General features: G+C 40.2%; 1 protein-coding gene and 1 pseudogene across 12 annotated transcripts in view, besides 1 other annotated feature; one reads left to right on the top strand and one right to left on the bottom strand.

Annotated features, from left to right (window-relative positions):
- ADNP (activity dependent neuroprotector homeobox) overlaps positions 1 to 20,650 on the top strand; it is a 42,520-nt gene that overhangs the window by 9,576 nt on the left and 12,294 nt on the right. For 3 of the 12 annotated variants that reach the window (NM_001347511.2, NM_001282531.3, XM_047440076.1), the window contains 3 exons: positions 17,013 to 17,096; positions 17,861 to 17,973; positions 19,753 to 19,845. In NM_001347511.2, the coding sequence (NP_001334440.1) occupies positions 17,866 to 17,973; positions 19,753 to 19,845 (201 nt within the window). In that variant the 5' untranslated portion in view covers positions 17,013 to 17,096; positions 17,861 to 17,865. Of the gene's footprint in view, positions 1 to 2,605; positions 3,202 to 12,070; positions 12,363 to 17,012; positions 17,097 to 17,860; positions 17,974 to 19,752; positions 19,846 to 20,650 lie in introns of those variants that run through there. The other 9 variants (NM_181442.4, NM_015339.5, XM_047440075.1 and 6 more) reach the window with 6 other exon arrangements.
- On the bottom strand, positions 7,267 to 8,147 carry PSMD10P1 (proteasome 26S subunit, non-ATPase, 10 pseudogene 1; annotated as a pseudogene).
- Positions 9,725 to 9,884: a silencer, noted in NCBI's record as "silent region_13031". NCBI's record gives its function as "represses an Ori minimal core promoter by ATAC-STARR-seq in GM12878 lymphoblastoid cells {active_cell/tissue: GM12878}" and the evidence as "EXISTENCE:reporter gene assay evidence [ECO:0000049][PMID:35858748]".

Here is a 20,650-nt window from a genome sequence, read left to right as displayed (position 1 = left end):
GTATCCTCAGTCTGTTTTTCTTGTTTAAGTACCGAGGCATCTTCCCCCGCTTTCAAATACAATTTTAGGTGAACTCTTAAATTGATGAAGGGTCGGGGGGCCAGACCTCTGGCTGCCCAGCTTTCACCTTGTCCCTCAGGCATCATCTTCCCTCTGTTTGTATACATATCTTAAACTCTTAGAGGAGTTCAGCCTGAAAACAACTGGTTCTACTGGTGTACTGGAAATTCTGGTGGTCACTGCTAGAATTCTTGCCTGAAATCTGAATACGGAAAGTATCAGGATAAGCAGCAACACAGTAGCAGTTTTCCAGTTGTGGGCACCAGTCTTGTAGTCTGAAAATCTTCCTAAAAGACCAGTGACTCCACATATTTTTTAAAACTTAAGATACGCAAAATCTAGATGACACCTTTATGTTTCTACATAACTGTAAGTCACCTGGGTTTATTTAAGATAGTTGCAGATGTTCAGTTGCCTAAATATTTTAAGTGTCACTGAGCTTGTTAAGAATATGCAAACCTGAGTATGAATGGCTCACACAGATGTAAAATATTGTATAAAAACACTACTGTGCATGATGCATTGTAATGTGTACAGGAACAGATGTTGTTATGGCAACCACATCTGATTCTCAGTCATAATAGTTTGAGCTTTTTGGAGAGGTTATGCCCTGGTGTGAACTCAGAATTTTGAAAGTGATTATTTTAGTATCTCATCTGGTTTAAGGTGATAATGGTAACTGACTTAAGCATTAACTTGCATCATCTCATTTAATCCTTCTGCCATTAAAACAATGAGATAGTGTCCTTCTGCTTATGCCATAAGAAAACAGACCTCTAGAGGTTAAATAACATGTGTAGGATCACAAAGCTTGTAAGTGGCAGAGCAAGGATTTAAATACAGATCTGTCTAACTGTAGGGTGGACCACTGCATCTTTATTTTCTAGCAAAGAAAAGCTTTACTGTGCTATGTCACCCTACCTCTTGTTAAGGAGGTTTGAAGTTATAAGGTACAAATTTTTTACATATGGCTGATAGGTAAGTTTTTGTCCAGGAAAATAGTATTATTAGCACAAATTTTGACTTAGGCTATAAGCTTCACCTGTGAACCTTTTCTTTTCCCCTCGTTTTACTCTTACCCCAGTATCCTATTATCTCATACCTAAGGCAGTGATGGTTTCTCAGACCTCTTAGATTGAGAAGATGTGGCATGGGTGTAAGGTCCCTCAGGTAATTCTGAGGGTTGGGTAGGTCTGGTATCTACTCTTTTACTTAATTGACTTCCTCCAGGCTTTTTTTTTTTTTTTAATGGAGTCCAGGCTGGAGTGCAGTGGCGCGATCTCAACCTCTGCCTCCTGGGCGCAAGAAATTCTCCTGCCTCAGCCTCCCGAGTAGCTGGGATTACAGGCGCTGGCCACCACACCGAGCTCATGTTTGTATTTTTAGTAGAGATGGGTTTCACCATGTTGGTCAGGCTTGTCTCAAACTCCTGACCTCAAGTGATCTGTCTGCCTTGGCCTCCCAAAGTGCTGGGATTGCAGGCATGAGCCACTGCTTTCTTTTTCTTTCTTTCTTTCTTTTTTTTTTTTTTTTTTTTTTGGAGGTGGAATCTCGCTCTGTTGCCCAGGCTGGAGTGCAGTGACTGCAACCTCCGCCTCCCGGATTCAAGCAATTTTTCTGCCTCAGCGTCCTGAGTAGCTGGGATTACAGGCGCACACCACCACGCCCGGCTAATTTTTGTATTTTTAGTAGAGATGGGGTTTCACCATATTCGCCAGGCTGGTCTCGAGCTCCTGACTTCGTGATCTGCCCATCTTGGCCTCCCAAAGTGCTGGGATTTCAGGCATGAGCCACCACACCCGGCCTGGATTAATCCTCTTAAAGTGCCATTAGAATCATGTCCCTTCTGTACTTCGTTACCTGCAGCATCTCCTCGGTGCCTACCAGACATGGCAGCAGACTCCAGCTTCACATTCAAGATCCCCATCCTATCCTCACCCTGCCTTTCCAATCATGTCGTTCCTTGTTACTCAGAAGCTTGACATAGCAACCATTCTGACTCAGTGGAGTTGAGCAAGAAGTTCCTAGAACACCTTGCTTTCCGGCCTCTGGAACTGCGCCAGAAGTCTTTTGCAGTAAATGCAGATTCTTCACCTAAGTTAATGGCCCCAACTCAGCAGCTGTTGCCACCCTCCCTGCTGAGAATGAACTAAACATGAAGCCTCCTAGGATTTAGTTTGTGACACATCTGATACATCGCCTCTTTTACTGCAAATATTTATTGGATGTCATATCTGTAAGCCTTTTCTAGGCAGAGATTCATTCATTCTGTCTGAATTTATTGAGTGCCTGCTTTGTTCTAGTCATTGACATAGATGATAGAGATACAGCAGGGAAAAAAACCAAAGTTCCAGGGTCTCCCTTTGTAACGCAGGCTGGAGTATAGTGGCACCATCATAGCTCACTGCAACTCAAGCCATTCTCCCACCTCAGCCTCCCAAGTAGCTGGGACTATAGGCATGCACCATCACACCTGGCTTTTTACATATATATATATATATATATATATACACTTAAATATATGTATTTTTTCAGGCTGGTCTTGAACTCTTGGGCTCAAGCAATCCTCCCACCTCAGCCTTCCAAAGTGCTGGGAGCTGTGAGCTACACCTGTGAGATGGCACCCTTGTCCTGCTGCATATTTTAAGAGTTCTGTTTAGTCCATCAATTGAGGTCAGGAAAATGAACGTGCTGAAAGATAATATGTAATGATAATAATTTGTAGACATAAATGCCAGCCGTGTCTGTTAACTATTTCAGGTGATATTGTACTAAATCTCTGAAATCACCTGTGATGAACTTTTAAAATAAATAAAACTTTTAAGTCACAGTGTGATTATAATTTTTGTATAATTGGTAGGTAATGTGATGAACCAGGCTGTTTATTTACCATTAGATTGTTGGTTTGCTATAAATGAACTACACCAGCATGAGAGAAAACAAAACTTCCTTAAAGTGCTAAAATTAAATTTTTCATCATTCTGTTACCTTTCAAAAGCTTTCCATTTCATTTTTCCCAGGACCTCTCCTCTTGTTCTTCTACTTTTGTAGCGGAAACTGAAGGTAATTTGAAATTTTAACACATGGGAATTCTCTGAAGATCTTTTCTCTACTGCCACATGCTCAAGTTTGCAAAACAAGGTAGTTGAACGTCTCACTGAAGTAACCCAGCTGTACTAAATCTATTAGTTAAGGCAGAGTGAATCAGGGCCTTCATTGCCAAAAGTAATATAATATCCTGTTCCTGGCCTCTTGGAGTGGAGCAGATTTGCCAATAACGTGAACACTCTACCATTTTTTTTTCTTTAAGTACTTAAAGGTTTTGGGGCCACCTAGGTTCCATTAATGTATTACCACTCATATTAAATGATTATAGTGTCAAAAATGGTCTGGAAATTTGTATAGACCTTCAAAATGCTGTGTTACATCCACGGTTTGTTCTAGAGGTTCTCTCCTTTTCTGGGTAATATTAACAAATGCTTAAGATTCACATTTTGGTAAAGAGATCCATCAGTGATAAATGCCCCTGATTTTGAACCCAGACCACCCTGCTGTTGAAATTATAAGCAGACTTTGTCTCCTTCCCTAATCAATACTGCTGCCTTAAATTTCCCAGTAGCCACTTTAAAAAAAAAGAATGTGTTTATTTTTAATTGTTGTAAAGTATACATAAACTTTACCATTTTAGCCTTTTTTAATCTTGCAGAACTGAAACTCTATACCTGTTAAACAATAACTCCTCTTTTCTTCCTTTACCCAGCCCCTGGCAACCACCATTTTACTTTTCTGTTGCTATGAATTTGTTTATTCTAAGTACCTCATGAGTGGAATCATACAATATTTGGCCTTTTGTGATTGATTTTATTCATTTAGTATAATGTTTTCAAGGTTCATGTTGGAACATGTGTCGGTACTTTATTCTTTTTCATGGTTCAATCATATCCCATTATGTGGATATGACCACATTTCATTTATCATCAGTTGATTTCAGTTGTTCCTATTTTGGGGGTATTATGAATAATACTGCTGAGAATATTGATACACGAGTTTATGTGTGGTCCTGTGTTCCCGCTTCCCAATTGCTTATGTAACTTTTTGGACTTTTACTGTTCTCCCAGTTTGACTGGAGCCTGGAGGTAGTTGAGAACAGACCAGGCTCCTACCAACTCCCTCCTTTGAAAAAAAGGAAGCGTCTAGTTTCCCAAGGGACTTTCAGAAGAACATGCTTAGAGTATTCACAATGGGAAGATAATAAAGGGGAGACATAGGATACATCTGTTTTTTGAAAAGCTGGCCTGTTATTTAAGAATACCAAGGTTGTGGTTTTCATTTTACAAGATATTACCATTATGATTTGCATAGAAAGAGATTCTTCAAATGTGACTATCTAGTGACTCTTGGCCTCCATGGTGATGGTAAGAGTGATTTAAGACAAGTGTCCTTAGAGCTGAATTCTTCTCTGGATGTGATGGAATCATCTGACTGACTTGAGATACGTACAGATTCTTAATTTCTGTGTTGCTGCTTCAGCTGGTTTGGCTGAGCCTTTTAATTTTTGAAGACCATTTCAACCTTGGGTATTGAAGTTCTGGCACTTTCAGATGTACGTAGGGAACATGCTGCTGTTTGTTTTTAGTGAATGCCAAAGATAGAGTTTGGTCTGCATGGGTAGTGACAGGAGTGCTGCATCTCAGGTCTGGAGGGTGGCTTCAAGACCCAGCTCGCTCATGGGCAAGCAGTTGCTTCACCTCAGCTGCTAATTTGTAGGATGAGAAGAGTTTAGATTAGGCAGCTCCTAGGTTCTTTCAGTGATTGAGAGTGCTGCTTTTTCATAACAGATTTCTGTTGATGGTGTGATTTGGAAGATGAATCTCAATCTTTTGACTTTCCTAAGGCCTGCACTGGACACTTGTTTTTTAGTTTTTGGTTTTGTTTTGTTTTTCCCCCTCATTTCAGAAACAGAATGCTTGTGTTCCTGCAGTTGAGGAGACCCTGAAGACTGGTGATTGTTACTTAGATTCCATCCAAACTATCTTTTTCCTCATCAGCTGAACAAGCTAATTCTGAAAAGGCACTGCATATTTTTAAAAATATTTTTTATGTCATATGTATGAAGTGGATGCCACTGACACAAATGTATTTTTCAGGAGCATTAATTGAAAAATAATGTCCAGAATTAGAGTATTGTTGTCTCACTCGACCATCTCCTGAATATGTCACATCCGAATAACAGTTTATCCAGGGAACTAGGGAGACTGACAAGCTGGAGCTTATCCTTTGGAGAGTGGCCTATGAGATCATGGAAGGAATGGTGAGAAGAACTGATCCTGGTTAACTGGGAGAAGAGGGGCGTGTCTTAAAGTTTTGAAAGGCTGTCATGTGACTAGGGAATTTATAGCCTGAGAGCTATGGGCAGGTTACACAGCGTTGTAAAGCATAAACTTGTGAACAGAAGCTGTCCAGTGTGGAATGAGCTGCCTGATGGGATTTTGTGCGCCCTCTTACTTGAGGTGATCAGGCAACAATCTTTCAGAGCATCTTTTTTTTTGTAGAAAGGATTCACACATGTTGATGGAAGGTGACAAAAAATATTACTTTGACTAAACGTTTTTGTAAAGAATGCTATATTTAGATAAATACCATCTTTCGCCTTGCATAAATTTACACTCCTAACTAAAGAAATAGTTATAAAAAATATAAATAATTGATAACAGTTAAAAACTTGAAGAAAATCAGTGTTTATTTTTGGAGGCAGTTTTGTATTTGGTTATCTTTTATTATCAAACTGGGAGAATAGTAAAAGTCCAATGAAGTTAGTAAGAATAGAAGAATACAGAAACTGGTTACATTTCCTGCCTGCTTATCTTTATTAAGAGTGTTATAATATGATTATCCTAGGCAATATAATTGATGTTCATTATTCAGATTTAGCTTTCAGTACATACGTGTGTCATCATTTGCAAAGTAGTTTTCTTTCTTATCTTCCTGGTTCTCTAATTCCCTCACCCCCCTTTTTAGCCTCAGTACTACTGTACATTTTCTAGTAAACTTAAGGAAAGAGGATACTAAACTTTATTTTCTTACCTCTGTCTTGCTGCACAGTTTTATCTGCTAATCCAGAAGAACATTCTGCCCCTGGATAGTCAGAATTACGTGTTTTGTGGATTGGGGAGGGAGGGGAGGAAAAGGAGGAGGCATCAGAGCTGCCTTTCTATGAAGAGTTTCCGGCATCTGGAAGCTCTTTTGCCCAAGCTTATAGGAGAATGGAAATCAGCTACCTCTGTTCAGGGCGGTGTATTTTAGAAAAAGATTGAGTGGGGTGATTGTTTCCAGTCTGGCTGTAGGCTCTCAATCTTAAAGCTGTGTAAGATTAATTTTTTAAAATGCAAATATATAAACCTTTTTGCAACTGGTTTGATTTAAATGTAGGGCTTAATGGCACATGTAAAGCAAATAAAGTATGTTCACTACTTCAGATGCAAATCCTAAAATAGGAAGAATAAGGGCTTATTGGCTATAAGAAGAAATAGGGTTTTACCGTGACCACAGTTTTTGACTCAATGAGTGATATAGACAGGTATTAAATATGTTGCTGAGGTAAAGGCAGGAAGGAAAGAAAATGCACAAATACAAGAATGATGTTTTTTTCTTTCAACATTTTATTTTTTAGTTTCTGAAATACAAATCAGAATACATTTTGTTACATAATCATTTTAACAAGCTTGACATTTTTTCAATGTAAGCTGACTCGATATAGGTACTTTAAAACTTCCTTTTTAAAAAACCATACGTTTTATCTTGGCAAATAGCTCATCAAAAAAAAAATACACGTGTACATGGGAAGTTGTTTTTCATTATTTTCTAGCACAACCCCCAACTTAAAATTTGGTCCACTGAAATACGTAAATATTCCTCCTATCACAAAAATAAAATCTCATGGTTGGGGAAAAAAACAACTGTCTGGCATAGGCCTGAGTGAGCTTGAGAAACAAGTTAGGATGTTTAACTGTATGGAGGAACATCACGGAGTCCACCTAGAACCATCTAGCAGAACGACTAGCCTGTTGCTATTGGAGCTATTCTATTTCAGAGACTGATACAAGGTGCATGCTCGGAGGTTGCTGAAGATTAACAACAGCCACGGAATCACTTACTCAGAATTAGCCGAAATTCAGTATACAAGAATATGTGACAACAGTAGAACAGTCAGCAGTTACTCAGTGCCCAGAAAGCAAGCCGTAAGTTTAGAATAAGAACCTCAGCAGGAACAATAGTCAACATGTTTATAAGACTTTGAAGGTGAGAAAACATTTGTAGATGATGTCCTGTGCCCAAGTATGTTAGTTTCCAGGACACTGGGGACAGCATCACAACATAGAAAGTAAGAAGAAATCCAAGCTGTTTAACCTTCTACCATTCTCTTGAGTACTAAACCCAGGGCACCTTTGGCCACTTGTGGGGTTTCTTTTCTTCTTTATTCTCTATGTAAATATTGCTCCTTGGGACACCAGCAGTTTTGCTTCTTCCACTCTTATCACAGACTAAGTGTGGAGGAGTGTTACCCTCAGTGTCTTGGATGATTGTGGATGCTTTGTAGTACAGAAGGATATGAATCATCTTGAAGTTACCCTTGGCTGTGGCCTGGTGCTTTGCTGTAGCCTCATAATGATCCTTACCATCTGGATTAGCCCCACCTTCTAGTAACATGAGAGCAATCTCATGCCTGTTTTTGGAAGCTGCATGATGTAGGGGAGTAGAGCCATTTTGATTGACAGCATTCACTTGAGCACCTTTTCCCAGAAGGGCTTTTACAGTCTCATTCTGGCCAGCACAAACAGCAGTCTGAAGAGGAGACCAATCTCGCATAGTCTTTATCATTCACTGGCACTCCAAGTTGAAACAAAAATTCAATAATTTATGTATGTATGGCTGAGCATGCCCAATGCAATGCACTTCTGTCCTGGTCAGTTCTCATAGCCAGGGGTTTATTGGCCAGAATCCTCTCCTTCACCTCCTCCAGCTTCCCTCTGTAGGCCAAGTTGCAGACCATAAGTTTAGACACACACCCGTCTGTTTTGCTTTCCCAGGATTGATGTTTTCTTTCTGATTAGTTTTTATCTTAACAGGTACTAAATGTTTCCACAGAGACATAACAAAATCTGTTCTTTAAATAAATAAAATTATCGTCACAGGTAGCAGTTAACTGATGCTTTGATTCTGTTCATGAGAGTCAAATGCTTGTCCCTCTTAGAAAATTGCCAGCATAACTTAACATTTTTTAGTTAGATCATTGGTTTAAGGAAACTTCAAAAATCTTACTCTTAAACCCCAGTGGGGGTTATAAGAGATATATAAAAATTCTTGCATCAGCATCAATTGGAATAATTTAAATATCAAGGATCTGAAATTCTTACATAGTAACTTGGGTTGATGTTATCAAAAAATGAAATTGTTTATATTGTAGTAGCCTGATTGTCTTCCTAATTTTTATTAACTTAGAAAATACAGATACCTTTTTTTTTTTTTTTTTTTTTTTTTTTTTTTTTTTTTTGAGACAGAGTCTCACTCTTGCCCAGGTTGGAGTGCAGTGGCGTGATCTCTGCTCACTGCAATCCCCACCTCCTAGGTTCAAACGATTCTCAGGCCTCAGCCTCCCAAATAGCTGGGATTACAGGTATGTGCCACCATGCCCAGCTAATTTTATTGTATTTTTAGTAGAGATGGGGTTTCGCCATGTTGGCCAGGCTGGTCGTGAATTCCTGGCCTCAAGTGATCACCCTCCTTGGCCTCCCAAACTGCTGGGATTACAGACATGAGCCATGGCGCCCATCCTGACAGCTGCCGTTTTCTTCACTAGTAATAGCGTCATTCCTAGCCCTTGATTCCACACTCTTCTCTTCTCCCAACCCCAGGTAAAAGATAATCCCAGAGAGACTGTGTTTTTCTTTACAACTTTAGGGTAGAAATGTTTTTTTAAAAATCACAGTGTGAACTTTATTTTCTGATCCTTTAGGTTTACTGTGGATTCCCTATCACTTCATACTTTGATCAGACTAATAATAATTGGTGAAGATTTTCAGTAAACTATCAGAATTCTGCTATAGCCATCAAACTTCATGCTTTGGTTTGATTGCCCACTAGGCCCAGATTCTACATTTCAGTAACCTGCCACTTTTGCATAAATTTGCGTCATGGGCTTAGTTTAGATGAGTAACTATTTCGTGGAGGTACTTGGGGGCAGGGAACCTTTTTTTCTTTCAACCTGAGCACCTCTAGTTTTTATCTTTTTTATATTTCACCTAAGATTCCTTTGGAAACGGGTTTCACAGCTTTTAAAAAATAAAAAGTTTGAAGCTAGGCGCAGTGGCTCACACCTGTAATCCCAGCACTTTGGGAGGCCAAGACAGGCAGATCACTTGAGGTCAGGAGTTCGAGACCAGCCTGGCCAACATGCTGAAACCCCATCTCTGCTAAAAATATAAAAAAAATTAGCCCAGCCTGGTGGCGCGTGCCTGTAATCCCAGCTACTCGAGAGGCTGAGGTGGGAGAATCGCTGGAACCTGGGAGGCAGAGGTTGCAGTGAGCTGAGATTATGCCACTGGGTAACAGAGGGAGACTCCGTCTCAAAAAAAATAAGGTTTGAAAATCACTAGTTTAGGCTAAGTGCAGCTTATGTTTAGGTGTTAACCAGGAAGAAGTAAGGATCCTTGTGTAGCTCTCAGTGCAATATTAGATATGCTTTTCTTAGTGGAAATGAAAGTTTTGCATTCACTAGTGTAACTGATACATTAGTCATCACTTTGGGTTATGTTCAGGTTTTGGTTCCCGAACATTATAAAGTAGCAAAGTTTACACCTGCAGTTGAAGGAAAGTAGGACACACTATGACACACTAGATCCTCACTTGGAGTAGTTTAAAATGTAATCTGGACAAGTTGGACTTAGAGGCTAGCTTTTTCTTCTGGCTTATCTGTGCCTGTTCAGAGGTAGCTGGGTTGTCTTTTGCTTATCTAAAACAGGCTTATCTTTTTGTTTGTTTTGTCTTTCTTTCAGATGATACTAGTAAATGCTTTTCTGCTTTTTTTCTGCCCGTAAAAATACAGACTATATGGTGCCATCCTTGATGTGGTAGCTCTGCAGAACTACCATAGACAAGCTCCACTAATTCTTGGTGTGCCAGATCCTGCAGACTTTACCTTGAGCCTGCTAAACTGGGACTGTCATCTGTTGGGTGATGCCATTGCACTCCAGCCTGGGCAACAAGAGTGAAACTGTCTCAAAAAAAAAAAAAAGAAAAGAAAAGAAATCTGGGTTTTAGTGTATCCATCACCCAAATAATGTACAAGGACATCTTTTTCAGTTAGTGTTGGTAGGAAAATTGGATTGCCATAGTGCAGAAGAATGAAACTAGACCCCTATCTCTCACCGTATGCGGAAATCAACTCAAGATAGAAAAAAGACTCAAAGTGAGACCTGAAACTAGGGAAACCTGGGGGAAACTCTCATGGACATTGGTCTAGGCAAAGAATTCATGACTAAGACCTCAAAAGCACAAGCAACAAAACCAAAAATAGATGGGACTTAAACTGAAAAAGTTTCTGCACAGATACAAATATCATGCATATGGTTTTAATTTATCTGTAGCCTAGGGCCTAGATGAATCTTAGATTTTCATTCCAGCTGTCTGACTCTTGCTTTGTAAGAAAGCACATGAATAGGATATGGGCCTGGATTAGTAAAACGTTAATGTTTGGGCCCTAATCAGTAGATGTGGGTATAATTTGCAAAGACTAATAGGAATGAGTATGGCTAGTTCACTCAACAGTGTTAGTCTCCAGAATTGAACGTTGGCTGGGCACGGTGGCCCATACCTGTAATCCCAACACTTTGCGGGGCCGAGGTGGGAAGATCACTTGAGCTCAAGAGTTGGAGACCAGCCTGGGCAGCATAGGGAGGACCCCTATTAAATTTTTTTAAAAAATTAGCTGAATGTGGTGGCGCATACCTCTAGTCTCATCTACTTGCGAGGCTGAGGCAGAAGGATTGCTTGAGCCTGGAGAATTGAGGCTGCAGTGAGCTGTGATCATACCACTGCACTCCAGCCTGGGTAACACAGAGTGAGACCCTTTCTCAAAAATAATAATAATTGAATGTTTACATGTAGTTCATCAGATGGCATGTGCTTACCAAAAAGCTAGTTACTCTCTATTTATTTAGAGGCAGGGCCTTACTCTGTCACCCAGGCTGGAGTGCAGTGGCACGATCATTGCCCACTGCAGTCTTGAACTCCTGGGCTCAAGTGATCCTCCCACCTCAGCCGCCTGTATATCTAGGACCACAGGTCCACACCCATGCTTTCTTATAGAAACATAGGTCTTGCTGTGTTGCTCAGTCTGGTCTTGAACTCGGCCCTCTAACATGCTGGGATTATGGGTGTGAGACATTGCACCCACACCTAGTTACTTTCAGTCGTAAATAAAATACTTGCAAATGTTAATTCTGTTATTAATAGGTCATTGAGCTTTCTCTGAATTCTAGAATTTAGGGTGTTTAACTCTTCTCATATAGTGTTTTTTGTTTTTTTACTTCATGAAATCAGAGTCAAAGCATTTTTTAGAGTAACTTTCATCTTTCAAACTCCTGTTCTTTCTACTAGACTCAGTTCACAAGTGTAATTATTTTGCATAAATACCCTATCTTCCCTCTTATTTATTCACTTTCTCTTCTGTGTCCGCCTGCCCAGTGGGTCTGTCAAGACTTTTGGTTGTGGGTGACAAGAACTTAGCTTAGGCAGAAACGATAATGTGTGTGTTTATATATTGGAAAAGGCTGGCATAGGGAAGTGCTGTTCTTCGGGCACAGCTGGATTGAGGACCTTAAACAATATCAATAGGAATTGTTCCCTTTGCTTCCTTCATGTGATGGCAGGTCTCAACTCTCCTTTTCAGCGTCACGTCATCCCTGTTCGGGGGACATGTCCAACTCTACTGGTCATTATCTTACATAGATGAAATATTCTTAACTAGTCAAACTGAGTCATGTGTACTCTGCTCTGCTGGAAAAGTGACTTTCTGTCTTCCATCAATCGTGGCAGAGGCGTTTCCAAGAGGAGGCTGGGCAGGCAAAAACAGGTGTCTAAACCCTACTGATTGAGGGCTGGCTATGTGTATTCTAAGCTGGAAGAAATGGACTGTTGAAGGGGAAGAAGAACCATGTCTTACTCATCTCTCTATTCCTAGCACAGTTGAGTGGCTAAGTGCAAGTGCTCTGAAAATGATTGTCTAACAGATGAACAATATATAGGTTTGTTAAATTGGATATTTTTCTTTTTTTATGTCATGAGCTGAAAGGTTCGGCTGAAGGGAGCTAGTTCTCCTTGGTGTTGGAATAATGATGCTCATCTGATTTCTTTTTTTTTTTTTTTTTTTTTTTTTTTTTTGAGACAGTTTTACTCTTGTCGCCCACAGGCTGGAGTGCAGTGGTGCAATTTCGGCTCACCACAACCTCCGCCTCTGGAGTTCAAGCGATTCTCCTGCCTCAGCCTTCCTAGTAGTAGGATTACAGACATGTGCCACCATGCCCAGCTAATTTTGTATTTTTAGCAGAGACGGGGTTTCTCCATGTTGGTCAGGCTACTCTCCTGACCTCAGGTGTTCCGCCCGCCTCGGCCTCCCAAAGTGCTGGGATTATAGGCGTGAGCCACCATGGCTGGCAAATTTTTTTTTTTTTTTTAATGGCCATCCTAATGAGGCAAAAGAGAAGGGATTAGCTATCCTTCTGCATGTCAAAACCCATCTCTGGGACAATTTTTGGCATTAGTGTTAAGGTTTCTTTCTCCCTAAGAGTAATAATTACCTGTATTTTAGTTTTTAGCTCTCTTTGCATTCGAAAGTGAGGAAAGGGCCTTGAATTTCAGGCAGAGACAATTTCTTATCTATTCTGTTCCCACCCCTCAGTTACTTAAGTATGGATCCCTTGTCCACATTTATAAAGGAGAATCAAATAGATAACTTTTTTTTTCTTTTTTTGCAGACAGAGTCTCACTCTGTCGCCCAGGCTGGAGTGCAGTGGCTCGATCTCAGCTCACTGCAAGCTCTGCCTCCTGGGTTCACACCATTCTCCTATCTCAGCCTCCCAAGTAGCTGGGACTACAGGTGCCCACCACCACGCCTAGCTAATTTTTTGTATTTTTAGTAGAGACGGGGTTTCACCATGTTAGCCAGGATGGTCTCGATCTCCTGACCTCGTGACTCGCCCGCCTTGGCCTCCCAAAGTGCTGGGATTACAGGCATGAGCCACCGCGCCCAGCCTAGATAACATTAATGAACCCTGGAGCCAGCTATTGATTTGAACTTATGTTTCTTAACAGCAAGCAGTAGCTGCAAAGAAACATAGGGTCCTTCTCTTCTTTTTCTTATCACCCATAATGATTGACTGATAGAGTTTGGTTGAAACTTTTTTCCAAAGAATTGTTTGGCTTGTTATAGTTCAAAACACTCACAAGAAAGGGTAACAGTGGCCCCTTCTGGGATGGGGAGCTGCGTGGCTGGAGGGATAAGAGTGAGAAGGAAGCCTTCTTTGCTTATATTTCTGAATTGTGTGCTTGTTTTATCTACTGAGAAAAGTATTTAAAGCAAAAAAAAAAAAAAAAAAAACAGAAAAATCTTTGCAAATGCTTTTGAAGGTGCCAGTGTATATGACTGTTACTTCAGCTGCAAATGGAGAAAATCTTAGAGAAATGATCTCCATGAACAAATGCATGGAGGGCACACTTTGTTCTGGAGAAAGGGAGATTATGGAATTTCCAAGGTTATTAGGAATGTCAGAAATACGCATATGAAGAGCATTATAATCTTTACACTGAAAGTTGTAGAATGTTCTGAGTTAATGTGAACATACATTCCTGGCCAGGCATGGTGGTGCACACCTGTAATCCCAGCACTTTGGGAGGCCAAAGCCAGCAGATCACTTGAGCTCAGGAGTTCAGGACCAGCTTGGGCAACATGGCAACACCCCATCTCTACAAAAAAAAACACACACACACACACAAAATATAGCCAGGCGTCTAGGTAGTGTGCACCTGTAGTCCCAGCTGGTGGGGCTGAGGTGGGAAGATCACTTGTGCCCAGGAAGTCAAGGCTGCAGTGAGCTATGATTACACCACTACACTCCAGCCTGGATGAAAAGTGGAACCCTGGCCAGGCGTTAACGTGAGTTAACATGAACATACATTCCTGGCCAGGCATGGTGGTGCACGCCTGTAATCCCAGCACTTTGGGAGGCTGAGGCAGGTGGATCACCTGAGGTCAGGAGTTTGAGACCAGCCTGGCCAACATGGTGAAGCCCTGTCTCTATTAAAAATACAAAAATTAGCACGATGTGGTGGTACGCGCCTGTAGTCCCAGCTACTCAGGAGGTTGAGGAAGGAGAATTGCTTGAGCCTGGGAGGCAGAGGTTGCAGTGAGCCAAGATTTGTGCCATTGCACTCCAGCCTGGGCAACAAGAGCAAAACTCCGTCTCAAAAAAAAAAAATGCCGGGCGCGGTGGCTGTAATCCCAGCACTTTGGGAGGCTGAGATGGGCGGATCACAAGATGGGCGGATCACGAGGTCAGATCAAGACCATCCTGGCTAAACGGTGAAACCCCATCTCTACTAAAAATACAAAAAATTAGCTGGGCATGGTGGTGGCGCCTGTAGTCCCAGCTACTCAGGAGGCTGAGGCAGGAGTATGGTGTGAACCTGGGAGGCGGAGCTTGCAGTGAGCCAAGATCGTGACACTGCACTCCAGCCTGGGTGACAGAGCGAGACTGTCTCAAAAAAAAAAACAAAAAAAAAAAACTGGAACCCTGTCTCAAAAAAAAAATACAGATTTCTCCTAGTTGCCAAGCCTACAGCAAGATAACATTTTTTGGTACAGCATTTCCCAGTAAGCAGTGTCACTGCTTTATTTATAAGCCTTTTAAATTCAAAATAGATAAGTAAACCCAACACCAACTCTGTGGCTGAAATACCGCTTTTTATAAATTACAAGTTTCTTACAACTAAGTTCCCTTATGGGCATACTCACTTTTTCAGAAAAAAATACCTACCAGGCAGTGAGATGCTTCATCTTAATGTCTTAAACCGACTTTTTAAGCTGTGGGTAGGCACTTAGAAGAATGGGTTTTTCTTTCCCCCAAGCTGCCGCTTGATTCTTTTTTATGTTTTCTATAGACTAATGACCCCAGTGGTGGCTGCATTTCCAAATCTTTATGTCTTTGTTTTTCTGAGATTGTTGAGCCACTCATCCAGGAGGCAGGGAAACCATTAATGGCTGGCTTCTGGACACATCTGTTATGAAGTGTGAAGCAGAGTTAACTCAGGAAGTTCCCAAAGAACTGAATTTTGGCCCATAGAGAGTTTATGAAATGAACAGAGAAACAAGATGTCTCTTCCCAGTCTTAGGTATCTGTGGGCATCCATTTTAATACCTGGTTTCTTCAGAATTAGCCTGTGACACTTTTCTGTATTTCTGAAATATTTTTCTAACATGTGCTTCTCTCTAAAAGACCTGGTTTGTAGTAACTGTATGTGTTTTTTGTTTGTCTGTTTTTGAGATGGAATCTCGCTCTCGCCATGCTGGAGTGCAGTGGTGCGATCTTGGCTCACTGCAACCTCTGCCTCCCGGGTTCAAGCGATTCTCCTGCCTCAGCCTCCCGAGTAGCTGGGATTACAGGCACGTGCCACTACGTCCAGCTAATTTTTTGTATTTTTAGTAGAGTCGGGTTTTCACCATGTTGGCCAGGTTGGTCTCGATCTCTTGACCTCGTGATCTGCCCTCCTCGGCCTCCTAAAGTGTTGGGATTACAGGCGTGAGGCACCATGCCCAGTGTGTACTAACTGTTTTAAATTAAGCAAGTGATAAAGAATTTGCTGGTTTTAAGCCACCACAAAAGATGGTTTAAAACAATTTAGCAATAAAATTTGGACAAAAAATAATTGATTTGGTCTTAATTTATATCAGAAGTGACTTCTAAGTCTGTAGTTGGCTTCACAATATGCAGATTATTAGCATAGCAGAGAGAGCAGGGGACACCATAGTCATTGCTTCATAGTGAGCAGCAATTCTATCTTGAGTATGATAAGGCCTAGAAGGTTTTTTTGAAATACTTTTCATTTTCGGCCCCAATTAGACTTTGGTACTTCATATAGAATATTTTGAGACTTCTAAGTTAGAGTAACGTACCCAGTTTCAAAATTTCTAGGGGTTACTCTTTGATTTTGGTAGATTTCACTCTTTCTCCTTTTATTTTCCATTTTTTTATAGTTAACGTTGATTTTGGATTAGAATAATAAATGAGGCAGCATTTTATTACATTTGGATTAGTTGACTTGCCATTTACAGATGATATTGGTATTACAGAGTAACAGCCTTTGTTAATTAGAAAACTGGATTTGCATATATTAAATTTTAATTCCTGGTGCTTTGTCTTTTGTTTTTGCTGTTTTGGGTTTTAGAACTACTTTATATCCTGCGAAATTGTGTTAGATTTGGATTATTAAATTGATAAATTTTTACCATATTATGGGAAGCATTTCTGATCTCATTAGAAACCATACATATTCTCAGCTGCCCAGGTTTTACTGATTTTATTTTCTCATTAAAGACAAACTTCTGTTTTAAGGAACTTGGGAAAGTTGATATGAATTTCTAATTTAATGTATTAGGTCATTAAAATAATTTTTGAGTTCCCTTAGACACATACAGGCTTTTCATTTTTTTCAAAAGTACCCTCCTTAAAGTCTGTAACAGTTAACATTTTTGAGTACCTTTGCCCAGGTACGTTGCAGGCAGGGGTGGAGTGGGGGCATGCATTGGTCGAGTCACATATCATTACTGTATTTAGTTTGGGGAGTATACAGAAACTTAAGGTTTTTTTGTTTTTGTTTTTGTTTTTGTTTTTGTTTTAAAGAATACCGTAGCAGTAGGCAGGACAGTTCCAATTCAACAAAAACCTCTTTACCCTGGCACTCAAAACTGTAATGATGATGAACTGGTAAGCATTTTTCTGTTTTCAGATGTTCAACATCAAAATGAGAAAAGCACTAACACTTGATTTAAAAATAATTGATTGCTAGTATTTCTCTAATTTTCATCTTGAAGTTCATTACTGAACTGTTGTTAAGTCTTATCAGAATTATGCCAGATTAGACTCATAGTCAAAATGTCCTGTTAAAAACTGGGAAAATCAGAGAGTACTTATTTTGCCTGCCTGCTTTAAGTATTCAAAATATAGTAGATATGTGCTCGGCTCAGTGGCTCACGCCTATAATCCCAGCACTTTGGGGTGCCAAGGCAGGAGGATGGCTTGAGTCCAGGAGTTTGTGAGCAGCCTTGGCAACATAGTGAGACCTAGTCTCTACAAAAAAATTTTAAAAATTAGTTGGGCATAGTGGCGCACTCCTGGAGTCCCTTCCTCTTGAGAAGCTGAGGTGAGAGGATCACTTGAGCCCAGAAGGTTGAGGCTATGGTGAATCGTGAGTGCACTGCAGTCAATGAACCATGAGTGCACTGCACTCCAGCCTGCGCGACAGAGTAAGACTCTGTCTTAAGAAAAGGAAGGAAGGATGGATGGATGGATATATCAAGCCATATGCACATGAAAGCAGGTGTGTGTCTGTGTGTGTACACACTAGATGAGGATATCTATGCACCTTTTTTGTCAGATGGGTAGGTTTTATGATCCTATCATCAGTGGAATTAGTAAATATTACAAGTTGTACGTGTTTTGACTTTGACTTAAATTTTTTTTTCCAATAGAAACTATGTTCCAACTTCCTGTCAACAATCTTGGCAGTTTAAGAAAAGCCCGGAAAACTGTGAAAAAAATACTTAGTGACATTGGGTTGGAATACTGTAAAGAACATATAGAAGTAAGTAGCATGTCATTTTTAAATTTTAACATGACTCAGCTTCTGATCCATTACTTTGTGTCAGTGGCCAAGATGGCTAAATCTTAGATGTGATTCTGAATTTCAGCCACAGCAGTAGCTTCACGAAAACATTCTCAATAGCATTAACTTGTGCCTTTCTCCCTAAAATGGGCTTTTTCATTTTTGCATCCTGAAGCAGAAGGCTACCATTGAGGACTTAAGCATGTCAGGCGTTGAACTAGGTGCCGTAAAGTTGTCTATACATTTAATCCTTAGAACAACCATGGAGGCGGGAGGCAGTGTAGCAGTTCTTATCTCCACTTCACAGATGAAGAACAAATAAATAGGCCCAGCCTTGCAGCTGAGAAAGTGGCAGTGTCTGTGGGACTCAAAGCCTGTTCTCATTCTGATACGCCTGAATGTTCTGGTTGACCTTCTTCTAATTGTTGAGGCGTGCTTGTGTGGGTGCTTGTTGTCTCTTTCCTTAGGATTTGAGCATTTGTTGCCCCTTTTGACCCATCATAGACTATTACTTTCCCCCTTGTATAACAGTTTGGGCTTTATGAACTGTTTTTCAAGCTGTTTTATTCTATGAGCTTTATAACAGCTCTGTGGGATAGCCATGCAGTGGTCTCCTTTTCAACATCTCACTGTTCCAGGTCTTATGGTTTGTTGGTCAGAGCCCCTGATTGAAAAGAAATGTTTGAAGCTGTTTCCCCCACTAACCTTTAAGTTCTAGGTGGCTAGGGAACATAGCTACCTTGTTTATCCATTTAGCCCCAGCACCTAGCACAGTGTTTTGCACGTAATAGGTGATCAGTAAGTGTTTGAATGGAATTGGAAGTAAAAAAGCAAATTCATTCATACAACAGGTTTTCTTAATTTGAGTTCCACTAATAATACTTGAAGAGTATGGCATGGAAACAGAAGCTGCTCAAAAGTTGACTTCTCTAGTCACGTTGTTCCAAGTGTGGAAGTAGCCCTTCTCCAACCCCAGAGTTCAGGTAGATCTGCCCAAATGAAACAGTCCATTCACTTTGCACTCTGTGGGGTCATCTTCATAGAAATAATTAATACCAACATCACAGTACATTTCTGTCATGCATTTGATTTGTTCCTCCTATGATTATTTATGTGTAGACTTCATTTTCCACCTTGAACTGTGAACTTTTTAGGAACAAGTGGGATTTTACCCTAAGACTTTTAATCTTCCTAGTCTGGAGGGAAGTGGACCATTAAATTTTTACATGAGAGTATAAATTTAACATCATACTGCTTAACTTTCTTTGAATAGCTTTCTTTCTGCCTTTTTGGGTTTGAAATTTGAGTTTTCTTCCTGATCTGATCTCCTGCCCCCTCCCCTCGAAAAAAATCTTTTTTTTGCACAGAACCAGAAATCATATTTGCAGTGCTGTAAGCAAACATTGCTATTTTAGACACCATTCCAGTACTGTAACTGACGAGTTAGAGTACAGTACTCTAATGAAAAGTGCTTTGATATTAGTGTGTGGCTGAATTTTTTACTTAATTAGAACTTCCAGCAATTTCCTTGGAAACCTGACTGACCATCAGGAAAGTGGTTGGTTGATATAAAATGTAGACTGCAACTTCCATATGCCTTTTTATATTTAAGAGCCTTATCACTCCTAGTTTAAGTCCTTGTTGACGTTGGTTTTCCTGTGCCTCTCCCCATCTTAGTTAAGAGGTGAGATTTACATGTAAGATTGGGTTAGCGTTTATACCACTATGTTTTTGTAAACTTATTTCACTGTTTTCTAGGATTTTAAACAATTTGAACCTAATGACTTTTATTTGAAAAACACTACATGGGAGGATGTAGGACTGTGGGACCCATCACTTACGAAAAACCAGGTAAGTGGCACAGGAGACTTCCTCAGATGGCAGCATGCTTGGTATACTCCCTTTTCAGCTCTAGGCCTTTTATAGCGGTGCAGTGATTGCGGGCAAGTGCCAAACATCGAAAGTGTCAAAATTGCATTTCATATTTTCCTGACCAGTGGGAAGACTAAGAAAAACTTTTTGTCCTTTTTTGTCATTGGACTAAAACTTGAGGTGTAAGAAGAAACAAAATTTTGTTACTTAAAAGTTACGAAGCCTGCTGTATCCCACCATTTCCCCTAAAAGTGCTCTGGCTCTATTTTTCTGCATCTGTGTTGCCATTCTTGTTTTTTCTGCACAGAAAAAGACAAGACCCTTCCTTACATTTAAGCTTTTCTTATTTCCCTATGTTGATGGCACCCAACTTCTATGGGAGGCCTGGGGAAGTGACTCTGTAGGATGTCAGTGACAGAGAGATAAAACTTCTTACAAATTGGCATTAAAAACAATATTAGCACTGCCAGCAAGTATCAATAGATGATGATGATGTCATATAGGTGATATTTCCTTCTGCATAGAGAGAGGTAATTGTCAATTTAATTTTTACCATTACCTATTTTAGGAGTGATTCTCATTCTGCATTAATGATCTGTTCATCTATCGGAACATACTTTTCAGGAAATTAGTACTCAGATATTTGACTTTTTTTTTTTTTTTTTTTTTTTTTTAAATACCCCAGGCAAAGTTACTAACCAGCAGTCTTAGAATGAGAATGCTTTCCAGTGGGACACATCATTTATTTAATTCAGTTTTATCAATCTGAAAGCCTCATAGCTGA

Source organism: Homo sapiens, chromosome 20 (assembly GCF_000001405.40).
Source record: "Homo sapiens chromosome 20, GRCh38.p14 Primary Assembly".
Classification (NCBI taxonomy): domain Eukaryota; kingdom Metazoa; phylum Chordata; class Mammalia; order Primates; family Hominidae; genus Homo; species Homo sapiens.
This window is presented reverse-complemented; position numbering and strand designations above follow the sequence as displayed.